Source organism: Homo sapiens, chromosome 16 (genome assembly GCF_000001405.40).
Source record: "Homo sapiens chromosome 16, GRCh38.p14 Primary Assembly".
Taxonomy (NCBI): Eukaryota; Metazoa; Chordata; class Mammalia; order Primates; family Hominidae; genus Homo; species Homo sapiens.
Window position 1 is genome coordinate 61,421,481 of NC_000016.10, and position 27,043 is coordinate 61,448,523.

Genomic DNA, 27,043 nt, shown 5'->3' on the forward strand with positions numbered 1-27,043 from the left:
GTTGCCTTAATATATAAGATATTTCAATAAATGTCAATTGAAATCTAAAAGCAGTTTGCAAAAGTTTCTTACAGCTTTAACATAGAAAATAGCTACAATTATTTTAACTTTTTTGAGTTTATGTAAGTTTTCTATGGAAAGTTTTAGTTTTATAGTAGGTGACTATTGAATATTACTTTTGTTCATCTTTTTGCCCTTAAATCTCAGTGTTCCTTGATCCTGAAATATTTTTGCAACACGTTTCTTTGAATATTCAGTAATTCATCTAACGGCCTTAATGAATCCACTCATTCTCTACATCCAAAAAAAAAAATAAACATTATTTTTATCTTAAATGATGATAAGAACACAAAATCAGTGTTATTCTAATGCACAAATTTAAGGATGAAAAGAATGAGGATGGTCACAACAATAATGATTTTGACATTTAATGCTTGTTTCTATTTACACATAAATCCTGAGTGTCCCAGGATGCTGAGGCTGAAGGGCTGGATAACATCTAATATACTTGCTTCCTTATAACCATGGTGTTCTTTTTTTCAAGAAACGGCAGCACCATTTTTTCTTTACTTTTTTTTTTAATAGATATGGGGTATCACCATTTTTTTTTTTACATTTTTTTTTAAATAGAGATGGGGTATCACCATGTTGCTCAGACTGGTCTTGAACTACTGGACTCAGGCAATCCTCCTGCCTCAGCCTCCCAAAGTGCTGGGATTATAGGCATGAGCCACCATGCCTGGCCTGGCACCACTATTTTTTAAAAAATTATTTTTTAATTATTTTTAAAATTTTTGCAGGTATATGACATGTTACAGGCATGATACTGGCATGCAATGTGAAATGAGCTCATCACAGAGAATGAAGTATCTATCCCCTGAAGCATTTATCCTTTGAGTTCAAACAATCCAATTACATTCTTAAAATTATTTTAAAATATACAATTAAGTTACTATTGACTATAGTCACCCTACGGTAGGTCTTATTCATTCTTTCTATTTTTTTTTTTTTTACCCAAGGCAACACCATTTTTATGTGTCACTCAAACCAGTGTGTGGAGCTACCTAGGACTACTCTTCCATTTTTTTTTCCTGGCATCCAATCAATTAGCAAATCCTGTTAACTTTATGTTGCATATGTTACTTAAACCCATTACTTTCTCTTTTCTTCTTCTGTGCTACTTCAGCAAGAAAGAAATCATAATAGTATAAACTATATGGAAAATTCTCTAATGATTCCCTTTTCCTCTAACTCAATCTTTAGCCTCCATAAAGCTGCCAATTAGACCATTCTGAGACACTAGATAAAATCTTTTGTATGATATGAAAAACATTCCAAATCTCATCCTAGACTATCTCTCTAGCTTCATGTTTTATGATTCTAAATTGAACACACACACACACACACACAAATACACACACCCTCACACTCTTGCCTATTTATGCAACAGCAAAAGGAAACTGGTTTTAATCTTCTAAATTCACCTTGCTACCTTATGCCCTAATTTGTTTGCATATGTTGTTTACCTTGGCTAGAATGTCATTTATTCTTTTTCTCTTTGGTAAACTTGTATTCTTGTTCAAAACCCCATTTTGATATTACTATTAAGCATTTTAAAAGCGCCTTCCCAAGCCTGAAAGAGTAAGCAACTCTTTTCTCATTGCTAATTACATACCTTATAAATGTTATATTACTGTTCTTCTAAGCCCATTCCATGGTAATATATCAGCTCGAAGCCACCTTTCATACCAAAAAAATGAGCATCTAGGGGTCAATAGTGTATTTAGTCGGACTTGCATATTTGAATGTAATAGATGGCTACACATATTATAAGTGTTAGGTTGAACCACAGGAAATTTTTGTCTTTGAAAGTAATAAAAATGGTCAAATATTTACAATTTTATATAGTTTTACACAGCATTTGATGAACTTTCCTTTCATAGTACACTGGAGTGTAATCCAGAGACAAGAAGAAACATAATTTGAGGAAGAGTTAGGAGGTGTCTATTACATTTTATGTGTTATCTTGTGAAAGATAAAATTAACTTAAGTGAAATTAGAAAGTGAATTATTAAGGTAAATAAGCATAGGGTACCTAGAGATGTATTTTGGCAAATAAAATAAATTGTTTAAAAATATTTTTGAAATGATATATATTTAAAGTATATTAGATATATTATATATAATAAATATTTAAAATAAATATAAAAACAAATATAATATGTATATGATATATATAACAAATACCTCAAATAAAATTAACAAAATACCTAAAAATATGGTATGTGTATATTTATGTGTGTGTGTGTATGTGTGTCTGTATGAGTGCATGGGTCTGTGTGTCTTGCATTCAGTAAGAGGTTGAGTGGCCACATGCCACTCAACTCTTCCATATAAGAGAATATACTACATTTTTATAATAAAGGGTAATGATCACTATAAAGTATAATTTTCATTCTCTAAAAAAGTTTGAAACACCTGAAGATGACGAAATTTTTTTTAGAGGACTTACTTAGTTTCAAACATCATCTGGGGAGAGAAATGAAAAAAGACAATTAAACTCACCTCAGTGGATGCCTGCTACAAGTTCCAAGAATTTTCATGATAATCTTAAAAGACGCTTCTTTACGGTGTTCATTTTATGAACTTTAAATGTCAGTTTTTCTTATGATATCCATATTGAAAGCCACAAATGATTCATGTATGCGCCAATGTACGCTGATGACTTGTCTACAGAGAACTAGTCAATACTGATATTATCTATATCCATATATATAGATATAGCTATACCAATCTACAACTATATGTATAACTAAATGTACATATTAATATAATTTCAGTCTTAGCTTTATCTTTGTCATTCATGCATCAGCAGGCATACAGTCTGGTAAACCAAACTACTGGAAAGTAGCCCAGTCCTGTCATATGGATGGGAAAGTGTATTTTGCAGGGAGGGTGGCCTTAAGAACTATTTCCTCTTATGCCATCAAGCCATTTGGCTGCCCATCCATCCATAAACTACTTTGCAAACACTATCCCTCCCTGTCTCCCTTCCTGAGGAGACTCTCATGCTGCTCAAAATCTTCCCAAAGACCTCCATTCCCCCTCCCCTGCAGGAATGCTCAGATTTGGCCAGGTACTCAAATCAATTTGCCTTTGCTTAAACCTCCAGGGGAGATGTCAAACAGTGAGTCACTTACCTGATGTCTGAGATTTTCCAAAATGTGTGACACAGATTCAATATTTCTGAAAATGAAGCATGTTTTGGTCATAGTTGGTAGTAAATTTAAGCTGTTCATTTCTTGTCAAGAGGTACCCTTGTGTTCCTTCAAGCTCGAGAATCATTTTGAAGCTGATGGATCATGCTCTGTCTATTCAATAAACTTTAAGTTTCTAATATGTTTATTGAATGATATTAGAAGCTGTGGGCAATGCAAATATAAGTAAGATGTGCCCCATGACCTTAAGAAGCCCATAAGCTCTTATGGGTAAAATAGGTTATTTACTGGTACAATAAGGCTTACTAACACATTAACCTACTGCATAGTAGACAGTCAATAACCATTGAGTAAGTTAACGAAATACAACAACAGAATTGTCATCATACTGCTGTGGAAATAGAGGAAGGGTGACTAATTTTAATGTTGTGGGACAGAAAATGCCCCTCTGTTGCAGTTCTCAAAATGTTGAAATCCTACTTACCTTCAAGGCTCATGGTAACCATAAATATGAGAATGAAAAATCCAAACAGGAGGCTTTGCGTGAGCAAAACAGTGAAGTGGAAAAGGCTATGATATATTTGGGAAATGATGAGCAGATTGTGGGATTAAGGGTATGTGTGTGGGGAGACATCAGGCTGTTTGGCCAAATATAGAATCACAAGAGTGCAGCACCAAGAAGAGAGATTCTAGAAATTAAAAGAAATGAAATAAAGTCCAGTTTCTACACTCTATTCAGGATGGTATAAATGTCATCCCAAGAAAATGTGTCATCATGGTCATTTTTTTCACCTTCCTTCAGTGACCTGCTTTAGGAATTAGGTAGTTATTTTCTTTAAAATTCTGACACCTCATTGAAAAAATAGAATTCTCTTCTGCATTTGAATTCTATCCCATGTAGATTTCTTTCTTTTTACTTTCTCTTTCTTTTTCTTTCTTGCTTGCTTGCTTGCTTGCTTGCTTGCTTTCTTCTCGCTTTCTTTCTCTCTTTCTCTTTCTTTTTTTCTTTTCTTTCTCCCTTTCTTTCTTTCCTTTCTCTCTTTCTTTTCTTTCTCTCTTTCTCTTTCTTTCTCTTTCTTTCTTTCTTTCTTTCCTTCTTTCTTTCTTTCTTTCTTTCTTTCTTTCTTTCTTTCTTTCTTTCTTTCTTTCTTTCTTTCTTTCTTTCTTTCTTTCTTTCTTTCTTTCTTTCTTTCTTTCTTTCTTTCTTTCTTTCTTTCTTTCTTTCTTTCTTTCTTTCTTTCTTTCTTTCTTTCTTTCTTTCTTTCTTTCTTTCTTTCTTTCTTTCTTTCTTTCTTTCTTTCTTTCTTTCTTTCTTTCTTTCTTTCTTTCTTTCTTTCTTTCTTTCTTTCTTTCTTTCTTTCTTTCTTTCTTTCTTTCTTTCTTTCTTTCTTTCTTTCTTTCTTTCTTTCTTTCTTTCTTCTTTGTTTTTTAGGCAGAATCTCGCTCTGTCCCCCAGGCTGGAGTGCAGTGGCACAATCTTGGCTCACTGCAACCTCCGCCTCTGGAGTTCAAGCGATTCTCCTGCCTCAGCCTCCTGAGTAGCTGGGATTACATGCATGTGCCACCATGCCCAGCTAATTTTTTGTATTTTTAGTAGAGTCAGGATTTCACCATGTTGGTCAGGCTAGTCTCGAACTCCTGACCTCAAGTTATCCGCCTACCTTGGCCTCTCAAAGTGTTGGGATTACAGGCAAGACCCATTGCACCCGGCCTCATGTAGATTTGTTTCAATTTTACAATGGCTATGTTTAATAAGAATAATACCGAAAAAAAAAAACCTCTGGACTAGTACTCATGAGACATGGATCTGGTTGAAGATTCACCACCTTATATTTTTGGGGCAGTCACTTCTGCTTTCTGACAGTCTTAAATAGAAATTGGTTTACTGGTACACAAAGGCTCTTCTGGATATAATGTTCCATTCATCTATGATCATTTGACGCATTTATATATTTCTATAAGGAGACACTCAACCACCAGTTCCTTAATTCCTTTTCCTGATTGTGTTTCTCACCATCCTTGATGGCTGCCCATCTCTGGGCCTTATATCTGTCACAAAGTTTGAGGCATTATCATGGTGATCTTATATAGTCAATACTCTTCTAGGAAAGAAAGTATCAGAGCTGAAATCTGTGTTCAACTAGCCATACCAATCCATCTTTAGCTTTCCGAAATATACTCAATTCCAACATCTTTCTAGTTATATTTGGATGGACCATTGGATTTATCATTTCCCTTTAAGATTGTACGCTTCTTGAGGAAGGATGGCTTGTTTAGCCAAATTAAGCAGTGTCCAGATCAACCCCTTCCATGCACAAAATCAACATTTAGCAATTTGGATGAGTGGGCCTTTGTGTTATGTAGATGAAAATTAGATATATAGACTATTAATCCTCAATATATTTATGTTTTATCCTTAGTAAGACTTTCTGGGGTCTCCTTGCTGTCTCATTTATGTAAATAGTCAAGCATAGGGTATTTTTGCTATTGTAAATATTTAGATGTGTCTTGGGGTTTATGTATTTAGCTTAGTTACCTCATAGTTGTGCATATAAACTAATGCACATGAAGTGTTCAGTAGCTCAGAGTCGAAGTAACATACTTAACATAAGCAGAGTACTTCTGCAAAATCAGGTAGAATTAAAAATTTACAAGGAGAGATTCTTAGATAATTTAGTCCAATTTCTCACTTCATGTTGTTATCCCTATAGAATTATTTACTTGACATTTTGATTTGAACCTCAACATTCAACTTTCTCTTGTGAATAGGCTTCAATATTAATGTAGCTGGCCTTGGACTGTTGAACCCAGATCTTACCTGAGGCAGGTATTTGACAGCAGGAACCATGTAGATATAATTTTGTATGGAACATATGAGGCAGAAGCCAGGTGTGGGTAATTCACTGCAAGGAGATGAAGGAGATGTTAATAAGGTTACTTCTAATGTTCATGTCATTTCTGATTCTTTAACAATTGCCACATTTTATGTTTCACAAAGTTTCCAAAAGCAATACTGGCTAGAGGGTTTAGAAAACTCATTATGCACTGCCATTTATTAAAATTATAAATGGCGCTAAATGTTGCTTAAGCACTTTCTTCATCTGGAAAATAAAGGTATTATTAGTACATTCTTCAGAGGGAAAGCGTGAAGATTAAATAAGCTAATCAATCTAAAATTTACAGTGGCTCTGGGAAGTACAATAACGTGCTCAATTTTACCTGTTGTATTATGCCATTTCAAATTATTTACTGAACATTCATCTGTGTCAAACAATTTGCTAGGCACTGAGGGTTCAGCATAGAACAAAAGATACAAGACCCCTGCATTTACAGAGATCATATTACAATGGATAAAGGCAAACAATAAACAAAAAAAGTGAGAAATCAAAATTAATGGTAATGGTAAAGTCTATAAAAAGAAATTGAAATGATAGAATATAAGCAAGTGGTCATTTAAGGTCTTCCAGGAGAAATTAAACTTAATTTGAAATTTGATTGAACAGAAGTAAGTCCTGTGATGTTAAATGGGAAGAAGATTTCCAGTGATGAAAATATATAGACCAAAACTTCCAAAGAAAGACCATCCTTGCAGCATTCAAAGACCAGAATGAAGCCACGGTGACTTGAAAGTAGTAAATGGGAAAAGGGAGTGAGGGCGAGATGTGGAATGATAGAATATGATGTTATGACTCATATATATAAAGTTTGGAGACCATAGTAATGAACCTGGATTTTACTCGAATATAAAGAGAAACTATAGAGAAAGATATCACGGTCGGATTTAAATGTCTTCCTCCCTTCCTTCCTTCCTTCCTTCCTTCCCTCCTTCCCTGCTTCCCTCCCTCTTTTTCTTCCTTCCTTTCTTTCTTTTCTTTCTTTTCTTTCCTTTCTTTCTTTCTTTCTTTCTTTCTTTCTTTCTTTCTTTCTTTCTTTCTTTCTTTCTTTCTTCTTTCTTTCTTTCTTTCTTTCTTTCTTTCTCTCTCTCTCTTTCTTTCTTTCTCTCTCTCTCTCTCTTCCTTTCTTCCTTTTCTTCTTTCTTTTTTTCTTGTCTCACTTTGCCACCCAGGCTGGAGTACAGTAGAATGATCATGGCTCACTGCAGCTTCCAACTCTTGGCCTCAAGTGATCCTCCCACCTTGCCTTTAAGTTTCAAAATGACAACGGCTTCTGAGTTAGGTAGAAACTATAGAAAGGCAAATGTAGAAGAAGAGAGATGACTGATCTAGCAAATGTGGGTAATGAAGATGGGTTGAACTAGGTAGAATGTTAGCCATGGAAATGAAAATGATGACGGCAGAACAGCGTTGTTCAATGGAACTTTGTGATAATGGAAATGTTCTGTATCTGAGCACTGGAAATATAATGAGCGTGACTGTGAAACTCACTCTTATAAATTTTATTTAATTTTAATTAATTTAAATTTAAATATCCACACATGACTACTGATTTTCCGATTGAACCATGCAGCTCTAGAAAGTGACAGGTTGGAGTCAAACTGACACACCTTCAGAAGTCCATGTTCTTAGCTACAGCCCTGTAGCGCATTACTTAAAAGGTGCAAAAGAATAATTTTTGAGCTGCTCCTTTTATAACTCTTCCTAGGCTTCCTCTTCCACTTCAGATACAGAGGGGGTGATCAGCAACACCGAGAGAGTGCAAATCATGCCACCCAGCACTTTCTCACTGTGGGTGCTTCTGCGGAGCCCAGGCTGCCTTGCAATTCCCCTCTTGTTAATAGCATGTGGTATAAAGTGAGAAGGAGAAATACATTTGCTTTCTAGGAACACTTAGCGATCCTGATAATGTGTTTAGTACCAAAGACCTGCTTTAAATTGTGAAGAGGTTGTATTTAAAACTGTCTCTTTCCAGTTGATTGTTAATTTATGGCATCATTATAAGTGACAACAAATAGCTTCTCTGGGATGGCAGAAATGCAATTAGATTGTCACAGACTGTCAGCAGTTGTATTTGGGTGTGATTTTTAATGCATTCTTTATGTAAGACTCTACTGCTAATAGTAATAATAGAAACACAACTTGTTCTTTTAAGGAAGGGGAATAATGAGCATATTCTATTATATTCAGAGTGGGAGTTGCAGCAAAGAAGGTGCTGTAAACATTGGAGTTCTCAAGATTCTCCTTGCTTAGTGCCTGCATTTACTAAGCACTCAATAAATATTTTAAGTGAAAAAATAAATAACAAAATAAGTGCCCTTAAAAAATAAAACTCCAGAATGAGTATATTCAAAGTGTGCTCATTACCTCAAGTAATGTCACTAGATGATGCATACTTATTTCAGTATTTCTCTCAAAAGATGTTTGAGACAGTTTCTGAAAAATTTCAGTCTCTTCTAGGTGATAGTTAAGGGCAGACACAGTTGATGGCCCGAGGTAAGTTCTTAGGGGCTCTGGAAATTTACATTAATGTTGAATGACTATTGAACATCCATGGTGTGCAAACCTCACCCCTTTATAGGTGAACAAATTGCACATGTTAGGGATCTGTGCAGCTGTCTTTTGAGTCTATGACCTTTAAAATAAACACCCTCTCTAATGAAGAGTAGTTAACTTCATAATCTTTGGAAAGAGCAAAAAACCAGCTGCATGTGGGTGAATAACGTGACTGTTGATCAATTCAGGGGATGCTTTTTTTTGCTGAAAAATGCAGTATGATAATATACATATAAAACAAGCCCATAAACTAGAATGAAAAGAGACTTTCCAATGTTCCCTGAAACTAGTCAGTGCCATTGCATTAAGCGAACAGTGTTTTGAGGGAACCAGTATAAAAGCAAAAAACAAAAACAAACTAACAAAAGACCCATCTTTAACTTTGTTTTCTAAAGACCAATCACAATGAGAAAACTGAAATATCCAGGGGTCTCTTGGCAGAAATCAACAATATCTGGGAGTTCTTCTTTTAAAGAGAGGCATACTGAAGAAAGCACAAATCTAACCAGCTGTTCTCATCCTAGCAGTGTTCAGGAAACATAAAGCTCACCAGGCCAGGAGAATAGCTTTTGGCAATACTACTTGGTGACCAGCAGTAGCCCTCTTATTTATTTATTTTACAGATTCTTTGGTGTTCCTTCAAATAATCTTAGACATAAGATGAAAAGGAGGATGACAAATACTTAAGTTAGTTTCGCTGCATTTCAATCCAACATTTTTCTCCAGGAAAAGGAAAAATTATGATGCAAACATCACTGTCTGAGCTTGGCCCATGTTCACATAATTTATTCCCTGAATACCTGCTGAGTAACTGTGATGTCTCAGGTCCTGAGCCAGATTTTGGCATGTCATCAGTATATGATAGACATGTGGTCCCTGCCTGCAAGTAGATTTTAGTAGATACATTGTTTGGAAGGAGAGATACTATCTCATTTTAAGTACAGTGCTCAGGAAAGTACCAGACTCATACTGCACTAAAAGCTTTTACTGCTCATAAATAGTTCAGCCTTTATTTTCAGTCACTTAGAACTCATATACTAAATTCTACCCACACTGCCAGCAGCAGTCAGATAACACTGAGTACCAAAAAAAGTTGTTCTCTAATGAACGAGACTCATGTCCAACTCTTGTATTTCTGCTGCACACTTTCTTTCCTGAGCTCTAAATGTAGCTATCCAGTAGGAAGTGAAACATAAAGAAGTATTTGATTTTTGTTCTTCAAGTATCTTCTTCCCTCAGTCCTTACTTAATAAATGCTATCACCACTTACTGAATTACTCAAGTCATAATACCTGATAATTACTCTTATTTCTTCCTTTCTTCACCTCCCCACATCCTATTCCTAAACCATATTTTGAAATAATCTGTTCTTCTCCTCTTTCTTTCTTTCTTTCTATCTTTCTTTCTTTCTTTCTTTCATGAGACGGAGTCTCACTCTGTTGCCCAGGCTGGAATGCAATGGTGTGATCTCATCTCAGTGCAACCTCCGCCTCCCAGGTTCAAGAGATACTCCTGCTTCAGCCTCCTGAGTAGCTGGGATTACAGGTGCGTGACACCGCATCCAGCTAATTTTTGTATTTTTAGTAGAGATGGGGTTTCACCATGTTGGCCAGGTTGGTTTTGAACTCCTGACCTCAGGTAATCCGCCTGCCTCAGCCTCCCAAAGTGCTGGGATTACAGGCATGAGCTACTGTGCCCGGCCTTCTTCTCCACTTTCATTGCTACTATTCCAGTCCACACTACCACTGTCACCAATCTGAACCCCTATAACAGTCACGTTATTGATCTTTCCTACCCTTGCCTTTCCATAAACCATTCAACACATAGCAGATAGAAGGATATTAATAAAATCAATTTTTCTGAAAATAATGTTTAATCACCTCCTCTTGAATTTTTATTTAAAATTCAAACTCTAAGCCGTGACTAAAATGACTATCATCTGATCATCAAATACACAAACTGCTTTCTCAACTCAGTTAATTCATGGGTGGCCTGATGGTAACACTCTTCCCAGGAGCTTCTCATTTGATTGCCTGGTTTCTTTACAACATTCAGATCTTCTCAGGACAGCTTTAATTGACAACTCGATCAAAAATGTAAAGTCTCTCTTACTACTCTATTGCATCACCTGGTTTATTTCTTTCTTTGCAATTCTCACTCTTGAAAATTATTTTCTTTATTTGCATACTTCTTGGAACATAAATTCTATAGAGAAAAGAACATAATATATTTTGATTTTGTTGTTTTCCCATAATGTAGAAGATAGGCAGGCACATAATAGATGCACAGTAAATATTTATTGAAAGAATAAATGAAGAGACCTTTAACCATGAAGACCATGTTAGAGCCACTCTTTGATCTACCGTTGAGATATGGCATTATTATTTAGGGACCTTTTCGTTTCTCTTCCCAGTGGAATTCCACAAGGAGGCAGTCCTTACTTCAGAAATAGACCTATTACTGCTGTTGAGCACTCAGAGGCTCAACACACATTCTAAATATAGTCCTTGTATTCAGTGATTTCACAATAGCTCTCCAGAGAATGTTTAAAGACTCACTGAAACGAGTCACCTCACAAATTAATTTGCTAGTTTTCAATCTTTATTAATGCAAATTGATTGGATACTGTAAACATATACAGATGAGTGTTCGGGTTCCCACTGTTTTTTCTGCACACTGAGACAGTATGAAAAAAATAAAAAGGCTTTGCAAATAGACACAACTTCAATAAAGAACATGGTTGAGCCATCATTTTCAAGCTGGAAACCTTCTCTTGAGACTGGCCCATGTAGCTGTCTAAAAGGAATTTCACTTCCATTTTAAAAGTGTAAAATTTCTTGCATACATTTTTATTTCCCAGAAAGACATAAAGTGACATGGTATTTTGGCAACCTAAGAATATTTTTGAATAATCAGACCCGAGTGCTGATCAGTTTGAGAAGACATGTGATACAGCCAAGTTGTTTAGTGTCAGCTACTGTAAAGTGTAAAACTCATCCAGGGAATATGGAATCACTTTCTCACTCTCTTTGGGTGAAATATATGCATTGCTTCCTAGTTCACAACACCCAATGGAAAGCAAACTGAGGACAACAGCAGAAGGGTAGATGCTTTTTCTTGGTATTAAAACGGCAGAACATATTTTTTACAAAGATAAATCTCACCTTTGCACAACATTATGCATGTCTAGAAGAGTTTTCTATTGCACCTTCTCATTGAATCCTCATATCAAATAGCACCTTGCACTGTATCAGGAGAAAGTATCATTATTTCCCTTTTAGCTAAATTCAAGTGGAGAGAGAGATAGTGGCAAATGTCTCATAAATTTGAGGAAACAATAAAAGGTAAAAAGAGGCTACAAGTGGGACATTTTTAATTTAGTTTTAATCCTTAATCAAGATGCTAATAGACACTTAGTAAAGAAGTAAAGATTCAGGTTATGTACATTTAAAAAATGAGGAATTCAAGAATATGATCATCCTACTTCATAGAGAAGGAAATAAGCTCAGAGAAATGTAAACAGTCTTGTAACAAGCATAAATGTGTCATTAGACATACTAAGTTTCACAAACTTTCCTGTCAGTGAGACAGAAGCAACCATAATTTATAAATTAGAAGATTGATAAAGAAAATTTAAGAATTAGATAAGTGTGTGTCAAGCTATTGAAGTTAATAAGTACAAAATAACATATTATATAGTTTACTATTTTTAGAATTGTTTTCAAATATTTTCTTTCTCCCCCATTTAAAAAAGAAGCATCACCTTTCCTCCTCCTTCATTTCCAATCTTTAATTTTTCAAGTCCTAACAAAATAATCATAGACAACCACTGATATTTAGTGATATTTGTTTCTGACAGGCTAGTTTTTATTGAAGATCTAAACATATCTTTTTTAATTCCATGGTGATTCTAGATTGTCTTTGAACTTAACGTTTTGGGATTTTATTTTGGCCTTCCAGAGAGCTGTATGGTTTTACTAATACAAAATATTTGCTAAATCAGGCAGCAATCTACATTATTAATAACTATGAAATATTATAAATATCTAAAGAGTAATATTATAAGCAACCAAAAAACTACATCAGATTTTTATATATTAAAGATAAATTACTTTTATCAAATATTATGAAACTGAGCTTAAGAGTATTGCTTTCATTTGGTATAGATGACAATTAAAATTAGATACTAAGAAAGAACGATTGCTTAGAAGAAAACTGTGAAAACATCAGAAAATGTTTGATTTCTCAAACTTCAAATTTTACTTTTGAAATAGAAGCAGATTTTTTCCATTGAATTGGTTTTTCCACACAAGAAAATTTATATGTACACTGTCTAATATGGTAGCCACTAGCGACATGTGGCTATTGAGCACTTGAATTGTGGCTAGCTCAAATTGAGATGTGTTATAAAGGTAAAATACACAACAGTATTCAAAGACTTAGTACAAAAAAGTTTCATTAATATTTTTTGATATTAACTACATGCGGAAATAACAGAATTTTTAGTGCATTAAGTTAAAATATTATTAAAATTAATTTAATCTGCTACTTTTTTATACAGAGGCACTAAGAAATTTAGAAATTTGTGTCACTTATATGAGCAATGCTTGTTTAAACATGTAGAAATGTTCTTGAAAACTATAAAGCTGTAACTACTTGTATTTATTATGTACTGAAACCTTCCTCACTTGACAAATGTTGAAAGTTAGTCTTTGCTTTTATAGAAACTTATTCTGCAATGTCTGCAAATTACCGTTTGTATGCCATTTATTTCAATAATTGTGGAGAAAAATGCTGGTAATAAGGAGCCCTTTTTGTTTCATAGAATTCTAGTGAATATAAAGATAATGAGGGAAAATCTTCTAAATTTAATAAATAATTATGTTGAATGAAAATAATGCAGAGGTAGGTAAGGGATAGGGACATTAAACTTGAAGATATTTTGAGGCACACCAACATATTTTTATTTCATAATTCTGTAAGATATTTCATATAGGGAAAGGCTCACAAGATAAAATTACATAAAAAAGGAAATTATAAAACCACATATATGGTCTGTGAGAGAAAAGAGAAGGGAAATTTACTTTATTCTTTAGAAAAATAGTTATTTTGATGTAATTAGTATTGACAGATTCATGGATTATGAGTGATTTCTATTTTCCCTTTTTTGTATTTTTAAATAAAGGTATATTTATTTTTTGATATCATCCATAATGAAAATATATTAACTTTGTCCTAAAGTACCTTAATAATTTTCTGCAAAGCTTTTAATACTAGTCAGCAGCCAACAAGATAACTTGACATGAATTCATTCCAAAAACCCAGAGTCATCAAGGAAAAATGTTTCCCAGTGAACATGGCCAAGGGAAAACACTATTAAAATTTTCTTCGTAATTACACACAGAATCCAGTCAGTACAGTGAAGACAACTTGTAGAAGCCCGAGGCTATGTCCACACAATCTGGTTTCCAGGTAATTTTTCAACTGTTTTCCCATTTTCAAATATATACATTTTACATGTAGATCCTGACTATTCACTCTTATGGGGAAAATGAAACTAAAATTTGTGAACTGGATTGCATTGCTTTAGGATAGTTCCCCCACGTAGGGCAAGCACAACCTTTCTAACATAAAATGAAAAAAGCTGTCCAGTTAAATTTCAGCAAAGACAGACCACAGAAGGGTTACGAACGTCTCTTTGTAGTGCTTTTGGCAAAAAATATTTCAGATTAAAAAAAAAAATCAAAAGCAGAATAAAAAGAAATGTGGTGCTTTCTTTGGGAGATATAGAAAGGTATTTTTATCTAAATGGATAAAATATATTGTCAAATAGAAAATACATATTTCTCTGAGCGTTTATGCAAGAAAATTGAAAGAGTAAATGAGAAGTCAAAGTCATCGCAAATAAGAAGGAGACCATTCACTTGAAAAATGTTAATGGAGGTAAAATGTATGGAATATATCAAAAATTCGTCTGCAAATTGACAAGCAGAGCTGACAAAATATAGGCAGATGCCCATTAAGGTGCCAAACATTGAAAATGCTAGAAAAAGTACCTATCAGGGAACCAAGATTATTTTCAATGGAGCTAAAATGAAAGTTTCTGAGTGGCATTTACCATGCAAAATATCTCTTAAATATTGTCACAGTAGGAAATTGTTCTATCAAAATAGAAGGTTTTTGTTTTTTAATATTGCCTTTAGAGCCCTCTAATGGCCTTGGGAATTTATGAGGTTAGATCTCTCTAGTCAGGGCTTAGAATTATTTTAGAGCACTCTTGCTAACTAGTTAACCTACTTCTATTTTTAGTCATTCTTTAATGCAACAAATGTTTACAAAGCAACCACTCCGTCAGTTATTATGATGACTCTAAAAATATAGGTGATAAACAAAACACAATTTTATCTTTTCTTACAGAGCTAGCAAGGAAAAAAATATATAATAATGTAATAATTACTTATTTCATAATTACTGACATGTTGATGTGAAGAAGTGCATGAAGCATTTGGTAAAATTTTGAGATTCAGGGAAAACTTCCTGAAGAAAGAGGCCTATGAATTGAGATTGGAGGTATAAATAGCAGTTAACTAAGCAAAGAAAACAACTGGGGTGATGGGTTGCTCTAGGCAGAGGAAATGTGAAGATGCTAAATCAGGAAGAAGTGAATGTGTTGTAGAGATATAAAGAAATGCAATATGAAAGCAAGAAGACAGAAAGAGAAGGGAGCTGCATGATGGTGAAGAGGGAGGTGGAGTTCAACCACAGTTGAGGAGTACATGTTTTATGCTGTGTGCACTGAAATCAGAATGATTAAACATGTTTGCAAAAGATAAAATTATGGAGGTTATCATATAATAATAACAATGATTGAGCACTAAGTAATTTTGCATATCTTATCTCATTTAATGAGTTGACGCCCATTAAGCTGGAGAAAATAAGTTGTGGCTTATTTTACTTACTCTTACAAAGTCCCAAATAATGTTCTGTATTTCCTAAGCATATTTCTTTTTTTTTTTAAAGCATATTTCATTCTTTCTTCTTGGATATTGTTTTTCTTTCTTTCTTTTGTCTGTTTTGAGACAGAGTTTCGTTCTTGTTGCCCAGGCTGGAGTGCAATGACACTCATTTTATTCTACAATTTATATATTCTTCAAAATTGTTTTGAGTTTATATAATGAGTTTCCTATTTAAACTCACAGGTAGTTGGGGTTTTTCTTTCGGAATGTGAATCTATTTTAAAACCTTCTTAAAACATGGTTGTGTACAGATGAATATGATGCATGAAGCCACTTGACATGGGCAGAAGGATAGCCTCTGATAATAATCTGGCCACAGAACCTTTCTAGTCTTGGTTTTCATTGAACCTGCTGAGTCTAGTTCCAGGAGCATCTTGAGAAGAAATCCTATCTATTCTGCCAAAATGTGTCTCAGTGTTTGGAAACCTGCAAGCACGCATGGCTACCACCCTCATTTTTATGTTGGACCCATTTGAGGAGTAAAATTCATTGCTCCTCAAGGAATCTGCAAGAGCACTAACTCACTGTGGTTCCTCAGGCTCCTGGCACAACCCAGATTCTCATGAGTGATCACCTTAAATTATGTTGTGAAGGGACTTGTGATTAAATGAATGAGCACCGGAGTTTGACTACAGTAAATCAGCAAATAATCACAGGCATGGAAAAATATATGAGTGCAATTTCACAATGTCTCATATATCTGCATTCGCCTTGGCAGGCTTTGATACTCCCTGCATTGAACTAGAAGTCATCTTTTATACCTAAGTCATGGGGACAGGAATATTCAACTTTGTTTACTCTTGTAACCACTTATACCATAGTTCCCACAACTTCTCGCTTCAGATGCTTCTGATGTACCTTGAGAGCCCTTCATATATCACTTTTATAAGGTTTTGTTCTATGAAAGATTGCCTAAATTTTTAATATTAAGGTCGTATTTTGCAGATACTATTTTTTAAACATGAAAAATTTTTGATATGGATATACTTCTTTTAGAAAAAATCATTTATTCATTTGACAAGCTAATTATCTTTTGTACAATTTTAGGACTAAATTCTATGTGAAGAATTCCATTAAAAAAGAGTAGTTTGTATAGATGATGCCATTTCTATTCCTTAACTATATTTCATTAGTCCATTTTATTTTACCAGGATAAAAAGTTTTAAGACATGTGCTAACCTCAAAGCTATGGACTAGTTCACTGAAAATAATCAGTTGCCTTACTTATAAGTGCTCATTTAATAAACCCATGAGTATCTTCATGTTTTGTTAACCTCACTTGAATAAACAGAACTCAAAACTGACTCTACATTAAGGCTCTGCAGCTCCTTAAATTTATTTGAGAATATTGGCACAAATGTTTATGACTTCTGTGTCGAAAAATGGGCAAGGAAGAGTCCTCACCTCACTGGTATTCCCTCCTAAAGTCAATGTTGTTGAGACAAGTTAATGAGAAAATCACAGACCATTGTCTTAGTCATGGTAGGATATTTGCAAGATTGCTGCTGTCCTCCAAGAATTCCCTAGAATTGCGTGTATTTTTCGTAATGAGAGATGGTCTTTGAAGATTTTTAAAAGATATCTTTGCAGTTTATGGAGATATATATATATATATATATATATAAAATTTCCAGGAATAATATATATCTTTTCTTTCTCTTCTGCAACACTGCTGCTACAAATGTAGATCCTCAAACATTTGATTTTGTACGAAGACACGTGGTCACCACTACCACATTTAGAAGGCAATTTGGCAATTGGAGATCCTCTGGGTTTTGTTTTATTTTGTTTCTGTTCTCATTATTGCTTCTTCATTTCAAATGCAGTATTTAATGATTGTCATATATAATTTCAAATTTAGTTTTAAATTTGGAAAAGTGAAATTTTATTCTATAATTTATATATCCTTCAAAATTGTTTTGAGTATATGTAATGTGCAAGGAACTTTGCTAGCACTCAAGATGCTACAAGTATATGAGACAGATCTTTGTATCACACAGATCTGTGAAACATCTAAGCCCTACTTCCTAAGGAGAAGAAAGATTAGTAACTGAAATGTTTACAAAGTAATATGTGCTTTAAGACATATACAAATCTGAAGATGTAGAAATTATTTTCTTCAATGGATGCTCAGAAATGTCCTCATGCAGGTAGCCATTTGAACTTGCTCATAAAGAAAGGTAGGGTTTGTGTCTGTGAGTGGGAAATTGATGTAGCTCAAGTGAAGGGCAAAGACATGTAAAAAGAGATGGAGGATGGAAAGAATGGAATAATCAAAGAATTTGTTTTATATGAATCAAGTGCCTAGGGTTATGAGATCCTTCAAGGGCAGCAAAGGGGAAGGGAGATTTTCTTTAAAAATTGAATTTCTGAATAATGAAATGCTAGTTTTGACTGCAAAGCTCTGACCACTCTCTCTTCGACTTTCAATCTGACCACTCACTCTTCTACTTTAAATCATTGGTGGTCTCCATAGACACACAAGTTGTCTGAAAACAGATTGGAATAAAGAGACAATGAAAGCCATAGAAATAGAAGTGATAGAAGGGCTAATTAGGGGCTATTCTAAGTTAAAAACTAGAGATCATGGGAGGTTAAAATAGAAAGTTCGAAATAGAAATAGGGGACCCATAATAACCTGTAGATTATTGTAGCAACAATGATACGGGTTTACATGACTTGTTTGTAAATCGGGCCCTTTCTCCATGTTGTAACACATATCCAATGATGATGCTGAAGATCAGAACATAGGTCACAGGAGCAAAATACATTCTGTTTAATACAAATTATAAAGTTGGAAAGAACAATAATATTAAGAAGTCAAAGAGATTAACCTAGTTTTGACATTAGACTTAAAAACGTCTGTAGGATTTCATTTATGTGTAACCTTTAAACAGATAATCAGAAACTAGAACACATGGTGGAAAAATAATAAAGACATAGATTGAGGAGTCACTTGGGCAGTTTAGTTAAGTAAAGCTATTAGAATGGATAGGATGCATGATAACCTACTCTATAGAGTAGAGTAGAAAAGCCAGACTATAACTAGGATTCTAGTTTTGGCTTCAACAAGAACTACCAAGAACTCATTATGTATTACTCCTAATTTTACAAGAGGAACATGGATAAACTAAAAATCAACAAATTTTCTTGCACCCTTCAGAGATCTGAGGTTGCAAGGCAAATTGCCAACCCTAAATCTGGAGATAGAGGTGGATCCAGAGAAACAGTTGAAATCTGCTTACTTTGGGCAGAGCTCCCTGAAGCCGTAAACTGGTAGGTAAAATTTAATGGTCATTTTCATGAATTTTTGTAGGGTGAGTGTGGATTAACCTGTGGGTGAGAACCTCCTGAGGCCACAGTCTTGAGTTCCACCCTTCTGTAGATTTTACCTCCAGGGCCCTCATCAGCTTCTCACAGTGAAAAACCTGAGAAAGGTCCCCCTCATGGTTTCAACAATGAGAGGTGGAGGAGTGGAGGGTGGGAAGAGGAAGAGAAATTATGAATATGCCCAGATCTTTCTTTATATTAAAGGACTATTGCACAGGAGGTCAGGAGGTACTTTTGTCACAACCTTATCCAAGATAGACGAAATTCAATTTTTCTATTTCATCACCCACTACCTTTTCTATCTTGCCAAAGAGATAAACGAAAAACATAGTCAATAGGGGTAAGAACATCAACAGAGTAAATGGGAAACACTACAGCCAGGGAGTGAATGGGAGAAAAGAAATTGTATCATTGTTGAGATACTTGCTAAGGTCACAGCTGAAAGACAGTTCCACTAAAAGATGGAGATTTAATTTGACAATTACATAATGTTTCCCATCTTTGTCACCTTACAACCACAACAACAGAGACCCAGTACATTAAGAGTGGATTGCAGATGAAAGAGCTGCAAGAAATTGATTTTTGTCTGAGTAGGGGTATTTAGGAAAGTGCAGAGCAAATAGGAAACAAAAAACATCATTAGAGGAATGTGAAGGCTTTGGAGCCTACAGTTATAGCAAATGTCATACTTGTCTCAACTTTTAGCTAGATGAAGATAAAAATACTAGAAGCCTGTGTTCCTCAGTTCCTATTACTGCATATAATATGTCAGTTTTCAACAAAAAAATATTCAAAGACATGCCAAGGGCAAGAGAAAACAGTCTGAAGAGACAAAGCCATCAACAGAACCATACCCAGATATAATATGGTTGTTGTAGATATCAGAGATGAGATTTTAAATATCTATGTTTAAAATGTTAAGGGCCCAAATGAATACAATGAACTTTTAATACTCAACAATAAGAAAACAAACACCTAAGTTAAAAGTTGGGAAACATCTGAAGAAGCACCTCACCAAAGAAAATATAAAGATGGCAAATAAGCATATGAAAAGACTTTCAGCATCATAGTTCATTAGAGAAATGCAAATTTTTTAAAATGACGTTATGGCACACCTACTAGAATGGCTGTCTTTATTCAAATGGTAGTACCAATGCTTTTGAGGATATGAACAATAGGAACTCTCACTCATTGATGGTAAGAATGCAAAGTGGCATGGCAACTGTGGGCATAGTTTGACAGTTTCCTGCAAAATTAAGCATGGTTTTCTGTACAGTCCAGTAATCACACTCATAGATCTTTGTCCATGTTATTCGAAAAGTTATGTCCACATAAAACCTTCTTACAAATATTTATAGGATATTTTCCTCTAATCACCAAAAACTGTAAGCAGTAAGATATTTGTCAATAGGTGAATAAATAAACAACTTTTGGTGCATTTTTATAATAAGATAACACTCAATGATGAAAAGGAATGAGTTATCAAAACTTACAAAAATGTGGATGAATTTTAATTGCATATTGCTATTTTGAAAGAAGCCAGTTTGGACAGGCTATTCACTGTAAAATTCAATTTATATGACATTCAAGAAAAAGTGGCACTTTAGAGACAGTAAACGTAGTACCGTTTGCCAGGGGTTTGGGCAGGGTTTTGAATTTGTGAAGCACAAGGGATTAGTAGTGTGGTGAAACTATTTTATATGATACTGTAATAATAAAACATGATACAATGCTTTATCAAAAGGTACAGAACTTTACATCACACAGGGTGATCATCGATGTCTACACAGTTTAAAAAATCATTTAGGCCGGGCGCGGTGGCTCACGCCTGTAATCCCAGCACTTTGGGAGGCCGACGCGGGCGGATCACGAGGTCAGGAGATCGAGACCATCCTGGCTAACACAGTGAAACCCCGTCTCTACTAAAAATACAAAAAAATTAGCTAGGCGTGGTGGCGGGCGCCTGTAGTCCCAGCCACTTGGGAGGCTGAGGCAGGAGAATGGCGTGAACCCAGGAGGCGGAGCTTGCTGTGAGCTGAGATCGCACCACTGCACTCCAGCCTGGGAGGCAGAGCAAGACTCTGACAAAAAAAAAAAAAAAAACATTTAGGTGGGCAGAGGATTGTAAGGTAAAATGCAGAATGTGACAAAAATGTCTAGTTGAATGAAATATGTATGTGAAACCTCACTAAAGTGAGTGGTTGGAAAAGGTGCTGGCCTAAGTGATTTTTAAGTGAGTGGGATCTGTAAGACTAAAGCCAAAGGAACTGAAGAACTGTGCATAAACACTGTACTTGAGTTGATATAGCTGTTTCCATTGGAGTAGGGGTTAACAATTCTGAAATCACTGTACATAAATGCTATAATTGAACAATTAAGTAAATTGATGTCTGATGGTGGGAGCCAAGTTTTTTTACTGTTGGACTACGATGTTGAAAATATGCAAGAAATGGAGGCTGGCATGGTCCATGTTATAATGAGTTACAGTTAGAGACATCATGCTTAGCTTATAGATACAGATGGTTACATGGAGAACTATTTATACATAAGTGTATCGATCAGATCAGTACTAACACATATATTTCCCTCCTCTGTCAGCTGAGAGGGACTACAAATAATAACGCCCCAGTAGCATGAGTACACCTAGCACAAAGAACTTGTTTTCTGATACCATTATTGCATAAAGAAACTAAATCTTTTTGAAAAGATGTCTTACTTTAGGTCTGGGGCCAGAAATATGCAAATGAGACTGGAGGTTCTTGTAGTGCCAGAAGGAAAGAAGTACTCCAAAACGCCAATGATGGGGTTTTGTCAAAGGAACACGGGAGCCAACTGAAAGAGCTGTCAACAGCGAAACCTGGAACAATTTGAGAAAAAAAAATATATATATATATATATAAATATATAAATTGCTATTGGATTGTGACCCAAAAATATACAAGATAATTTAAAGTATTAAATATCTATAACAAATGTATAAAAGTATAAAATGTATATATGTAAACATATGTGTATATATATAGGTAAAAAAAATCTTTAGAACACACTAATACAAATAAGAGATTGAATAAAAATATAGAGGAGAAGAGAAAAATCTCCTGTGAAAAATAATTTCAAACAACGTATGTAGATGTGCCACCACTGGAGAGGTGGAGCACAATTTCTACTCCTTCAGTTTGGACTGTGCATAGTACATTTATTCTGAAGAGTATAATATAAAAAAGTGGGGGAAGAGATTAACTTTACAGGGGAGAAATGTGATAAACACTACCTCAATCAGGTGATCAAGGTTAACAGTAATATTAATAGTGATAAGTGGTAGAATGTATCCTTGACATGATGTGAAGAGAATGTACGTTACTATTTTGGTTTTCCTCCCTAAAACCCATAACCACTGTGTCATCATGAGAAAAACGTCTGACAAATTTCAGTTAAGGGGCTTTCTATTATTAAAAATATCTGATCAGTACTCCTTAAAACTGTCAAAGTTTTCAAAAACAAGAGAAATCTATGAAACTGTCACATCCAAGAGAAGCCTAAGAAGACTTGATAACTAAATTTAATGTCATATTCTGGGTAAGATCCTGGAACAAAAAAAGGAAATTGGGTAAAAATTTATAGATCTGAAAAAAGTATTTGATAATAATGCCCCAATGTTGACTCATTAATTGTGACAAATATGGTATATTATTGCAAATATTACTTACAGTTGGAACTGGGAACTGTAAGCACATGGGAACTCATCATAATCTTTCTGTAAATCTAAAAGTATTACAAAATAAAATAATTTTATAAAGACAGGGAGAGAGATTAAGAGAGTTCATGAAAGTAGATGTGTTCCAGGAAGTCTCGTGCCACTAAGCAGAGATAAGACACCATTTCAAGAAGAAAGAGGTAAACCACTGCATGGAATATTGAAGGAAAATTAACATACTATGAGAGGAATGATTGATAAATTTAACACCAAGTAGTAAAGCTGCTACTATCATGAAACTCTTCTTTAGGGCAGCTGAGTAGGTTGGCTTTCCAGGTGAGAAAACCACCAAGTGAAAGGTGTTCAAGTAAATTAATAAAAAGTTTCTATTGCTTCAGTTCTATATATTGCTTTTAACCATTTTCAACATACTGAATTATTAATCACTTGGAACCCAGGTGAGGTTCATTTGTGTGAATTTGTATGGGTGGCTAACAGCACAGACAGTTTCACCACCTGGGGAAAGTAGAAGGACAGCATAGCCTGCACTTTCCAGTTGGCAAAATCTGGAGGAACAGAGGAAAAGAACTGCTGGCAGTGGGCATGGGAAAACTCTGCCAGTTCTTTGGTTGCACAGTTGAAAACTCCATGTGCTTCCTGTCACACAGCAATATTTTCACACCTCTTGTGCCATTAATTAAGTTTTCTTTATCCTCCTGAATTCAGAGAAGAGACCCCCATCATTGAACGTTGAGATCCATTTATCATGGGGGCAAGCATGGGATATATTCAATATTGGATGGTTTTTCCATTATCATTTCTGCACAGTAGAGCTGAGTTAGGTGTGAAACATCACATATATTTGCTAAAGCAGTTGATCTTGTCAGAGAGCTAAACCTTTTGGGAATAATCATTCAGACCATCTGTCTAAGACTGGGTCATAAATTGCATACTTTTATTTCCATAGAATTTTATTCTGTAGCATTAGTACGAGTTGAATAGTTATTAACAGACTGTGACTTGAATAAATGAATTCTACTATATGTCAACAGCACTGTGGAATTTCAAAATTATAGCCTGAATAGGTATATATATATATATATATAAAATAGTTTATGTCAAATATGGACATTGTATGTAGTCATCATTTAAGTTGGTTACCTAGTCAAAGAAATTACCAATAACAAGTAGAATTTACTTTTGGTTAGTTCTTTGTTGTTTCTCTCTTTTCTAAATGGGCAATTTATGTCTTGTGTTGTTTTTATTTTTTTTACTTTGAAATAATTATTGATTCACAGAAAGATTTGAGAAAATATACAGAGAGGTCTTAGGTACCCTTTGCCTAGGGGACACATCTTGCAATGCTGTAGTACAATATCTAAACCAGGAATTTTATACTCATAATCCAAAGAACTTATTCAGATTTCAACAGTTTTACATGCACTTGCATGTTTGGGTGTGTATTTCTACAGAATTTGATTGCGTGTGTTGATTCCTGCAACTACCAGCACAATCCAGACGCGCAACTCTTCCATCACACTTACCAGCCTTCTGCTACCCTTTTTTAGGCACACCCACTCCCCTCCCGCATTCACAACCCCTGGAAATCATTCATTGCTTCTCCATCGCTATAACTTTGTTATTTCAAGATGAAAATATATATGCTTTCATCAAAACCTGTAGAACGTAACATCACAAAGCGAGATCATTGATATATACAAATTAAAAAAATATTTACAAGGTTAGAGAACTGCAGAATAAAATGAAAAATTTAACAAAAATATCTAATTGAACTAAAAGTATATGAGAAACCTCACTAAAGGAAGCAGTTAAAAAAGATGCTGGCCTAAGTAATTTTGTAAATGAGTGGAATATATATATATATATTCTCCATTATGTAACCTATTTAGATTGGCTTCTTTCACTCAGCATAAATCCTTTGACATTATTTTTTAATTAAACATATAGTAACAAATCTCAACTCATTATCAAAATCCCTTAAGTCACTTTAAAATTAGATTTCTGAGCCCAGACAGCAAGGATTTTGGAGATGAAGAATGTGATTTCAGCATCTATTGGCTGAGGATCTCTATGTGTATGAGAAGACTAGACTCTTAAGGTGGGAAGCTTGAAATTTCCTCTGAAGATAATTTATCTTAGTCTCTACTTCCTAAATATTTGTGTTAGGGAGCAAGGTGTCAGGCCTGGGCTTTTAAAGGCTGAGGCAGCTGGTGATGAGGGCCAGTGGCATACTGTTGCTGGGTCAAAACAGGATGGTAATGGCCAGAATACCACAATAAGATGATAAGAGTTGAACAGAATGACATGCTCTTGCATTTGACCTGGCTCTACCCTGTCTCACCAGTTCCTTTTCCTTGTCTCTTCCTAGCTTCACATGAGTAGCTAGAGATAGGCCAGAGGTCAGCATGCTTCAAGCTGGCCTGTGCTACATGGAAAGAGTAGATGACAAATTTATTCACTGATTCCAAGCCCACACTAGAGGTCTGGTCCACTTGACATAAATCAATTTTTATTATTCCAAAAGTCAAAAGGAATATGGGGAAAGGGGGAAAGCATTATATAAAAAAGACTAGCATATATAATATATACTAAGTTATCCTCTAGGTATCTACAAGGAGAATGAGGCATACAATTTTTTTTTAAATTCAGGTGAAGCCCCTATTCTCTAAGAAGAAGCAGACAAAAGAAGCAAAGTCTATTTGTGTCTAAAATATTTGCCACTTACCAAGGGATACTCTGTAAGTATAATCTTGAGAGGGAGAAACCATATTACTTTTGTATAACTAGTGCATTCTAGAACCTAGCATAGTGCTTGGTCCATAGTATATGTTAATATCGATCATATAAATAACATTATGAGGTAGTAATTATCTCCCTTTTATGGTAGAGGAACAAAAGAAAATTGATTAGTATTCATTTATCTGAATGCCTTTCTTAGTCACCATCTAGACTTATCTGAAATCCATGAAGTATAATCAGAATACAGCTGTTTCTCTATATTCACTGGGTTCTATTTCTAGGGTTACCCGCAGATAACAATATGTGTATTTGTATGCTTAAGTCCCTTATATAAAATGGCATAGTATTTGCACATAACCTATGCACATTCTATTGTATGCTTTGAACCAGCATTCCCCTACCTTTTTGGCACCAATGACCAGTTTCACGGACCAGGTGGCAGTAGATGATTTCTGGATGATTCAAGAGCATTACATTTATTGTGTGCTTTATTTCTATTATTATTACTACATTTTAATATATAATGAAATAATTATATAGCTCACCATAATGTAGAATCAGTGGGAAACCTGAGCTTGTTTTCCTGCAACTAGTTGATCCCATCTGGGGGGGATGGGAGACAGTGACAGATCATCAGACATTAAATTCTCGTAAGGGATATGCAACCTAGATCCCTCACATGTGCAGTTCATAATAGGATTGTGCTCCTATGAGAATCTAATGCTGCCGTTGATCTGACAGGAGGTGGAGCAGAGGTGGTAATGTGAGTGATGGGGAGTGGCTGTAAATACAGATGAAGCTTCACTGATTCACCAGCCCCCTTACCTCCTGCTGTGCAGCTTGGTTCCTAACAGGTGGGTACTGGTCCTTGGGCCAGGGATTGGGGACCCCTGCTTTAAACTATTTCTAGATTACTTATAAAACCTAAATACAATGTGAATGCTGTATAAATAATTGTTATACTGTATTATTATGCACATTATTTTTATTGTTGTATTGCCATTTTTTATTTTTTATTTCGTATATTTTTGATCCAAGGTTGGTTGAATTCATGGATGCTGATTGTATTTAGAACTCCTCTTGAGTTACAGTTATTATTACAAGTGACACCAAATATAAGACATGCATGTCCTGGAATAGCAATGGAACAAGGCTTTGGGAACACTGCTCTAAGCAGGCCTTTCTATGAGAATGTGAGCCACTTAATGAAGGAGGAAATACTTCATCTTCTTGTTACTCTCACTGACTAACGTGTGGACTGGTACACAGTGAGTTGTAAATAAAATGTGCTGTCCTGATTTGAATTGTTCTAATCACAGCTGGTCGTTAGAACCTGGTGGGAATGGATTTTTTTTTTTTTTTTTTTTTTTTTTTTTTTTTTTGAGACGGAATCTAGCTCTGTCGCCCAGGCTGGAGTGCAGTGGCGCGATCTGGGCTCACTGCAAGCTCCGCCTCCCGGATTCACGCCATTCTACTGCCTCAGCCTCTGGAATAGCTGGGACTGCAGGCGCCCACCACCACGCCTGACTAATTTTTTTTTTTTTTTGTATTTTTAGTAGAGACAGGGTTTCACTG

At 35.0% G+C, this 27,043-nt stretch overlaps 1 long non-coding RNA gene across 1 annotated transcript in view; it reads left to right on the forward strand.

The window, feature by feature from the left end:
- LOC105371302 (uncharacterized) overlaps positions 1-26,236 on the forward strand; it is an 82,213-nt gene extending 55,977 nt beyond the window's left edge. The window contains exons 2-3 of the long non-coding RNA XR_933656.1: positions 25,379-25,467; positions 26,210-26,236. This is a non-coding gene — a long non-coding RNA (uncharacterized LOC105371302). The remainder of the gene's footprint in view (positions 1-25,378; positions 25,468-26,209) is intronic.
- The last annotated feature ends 807 nt before the right edge of the window (positions 26,237-27,043 follow it).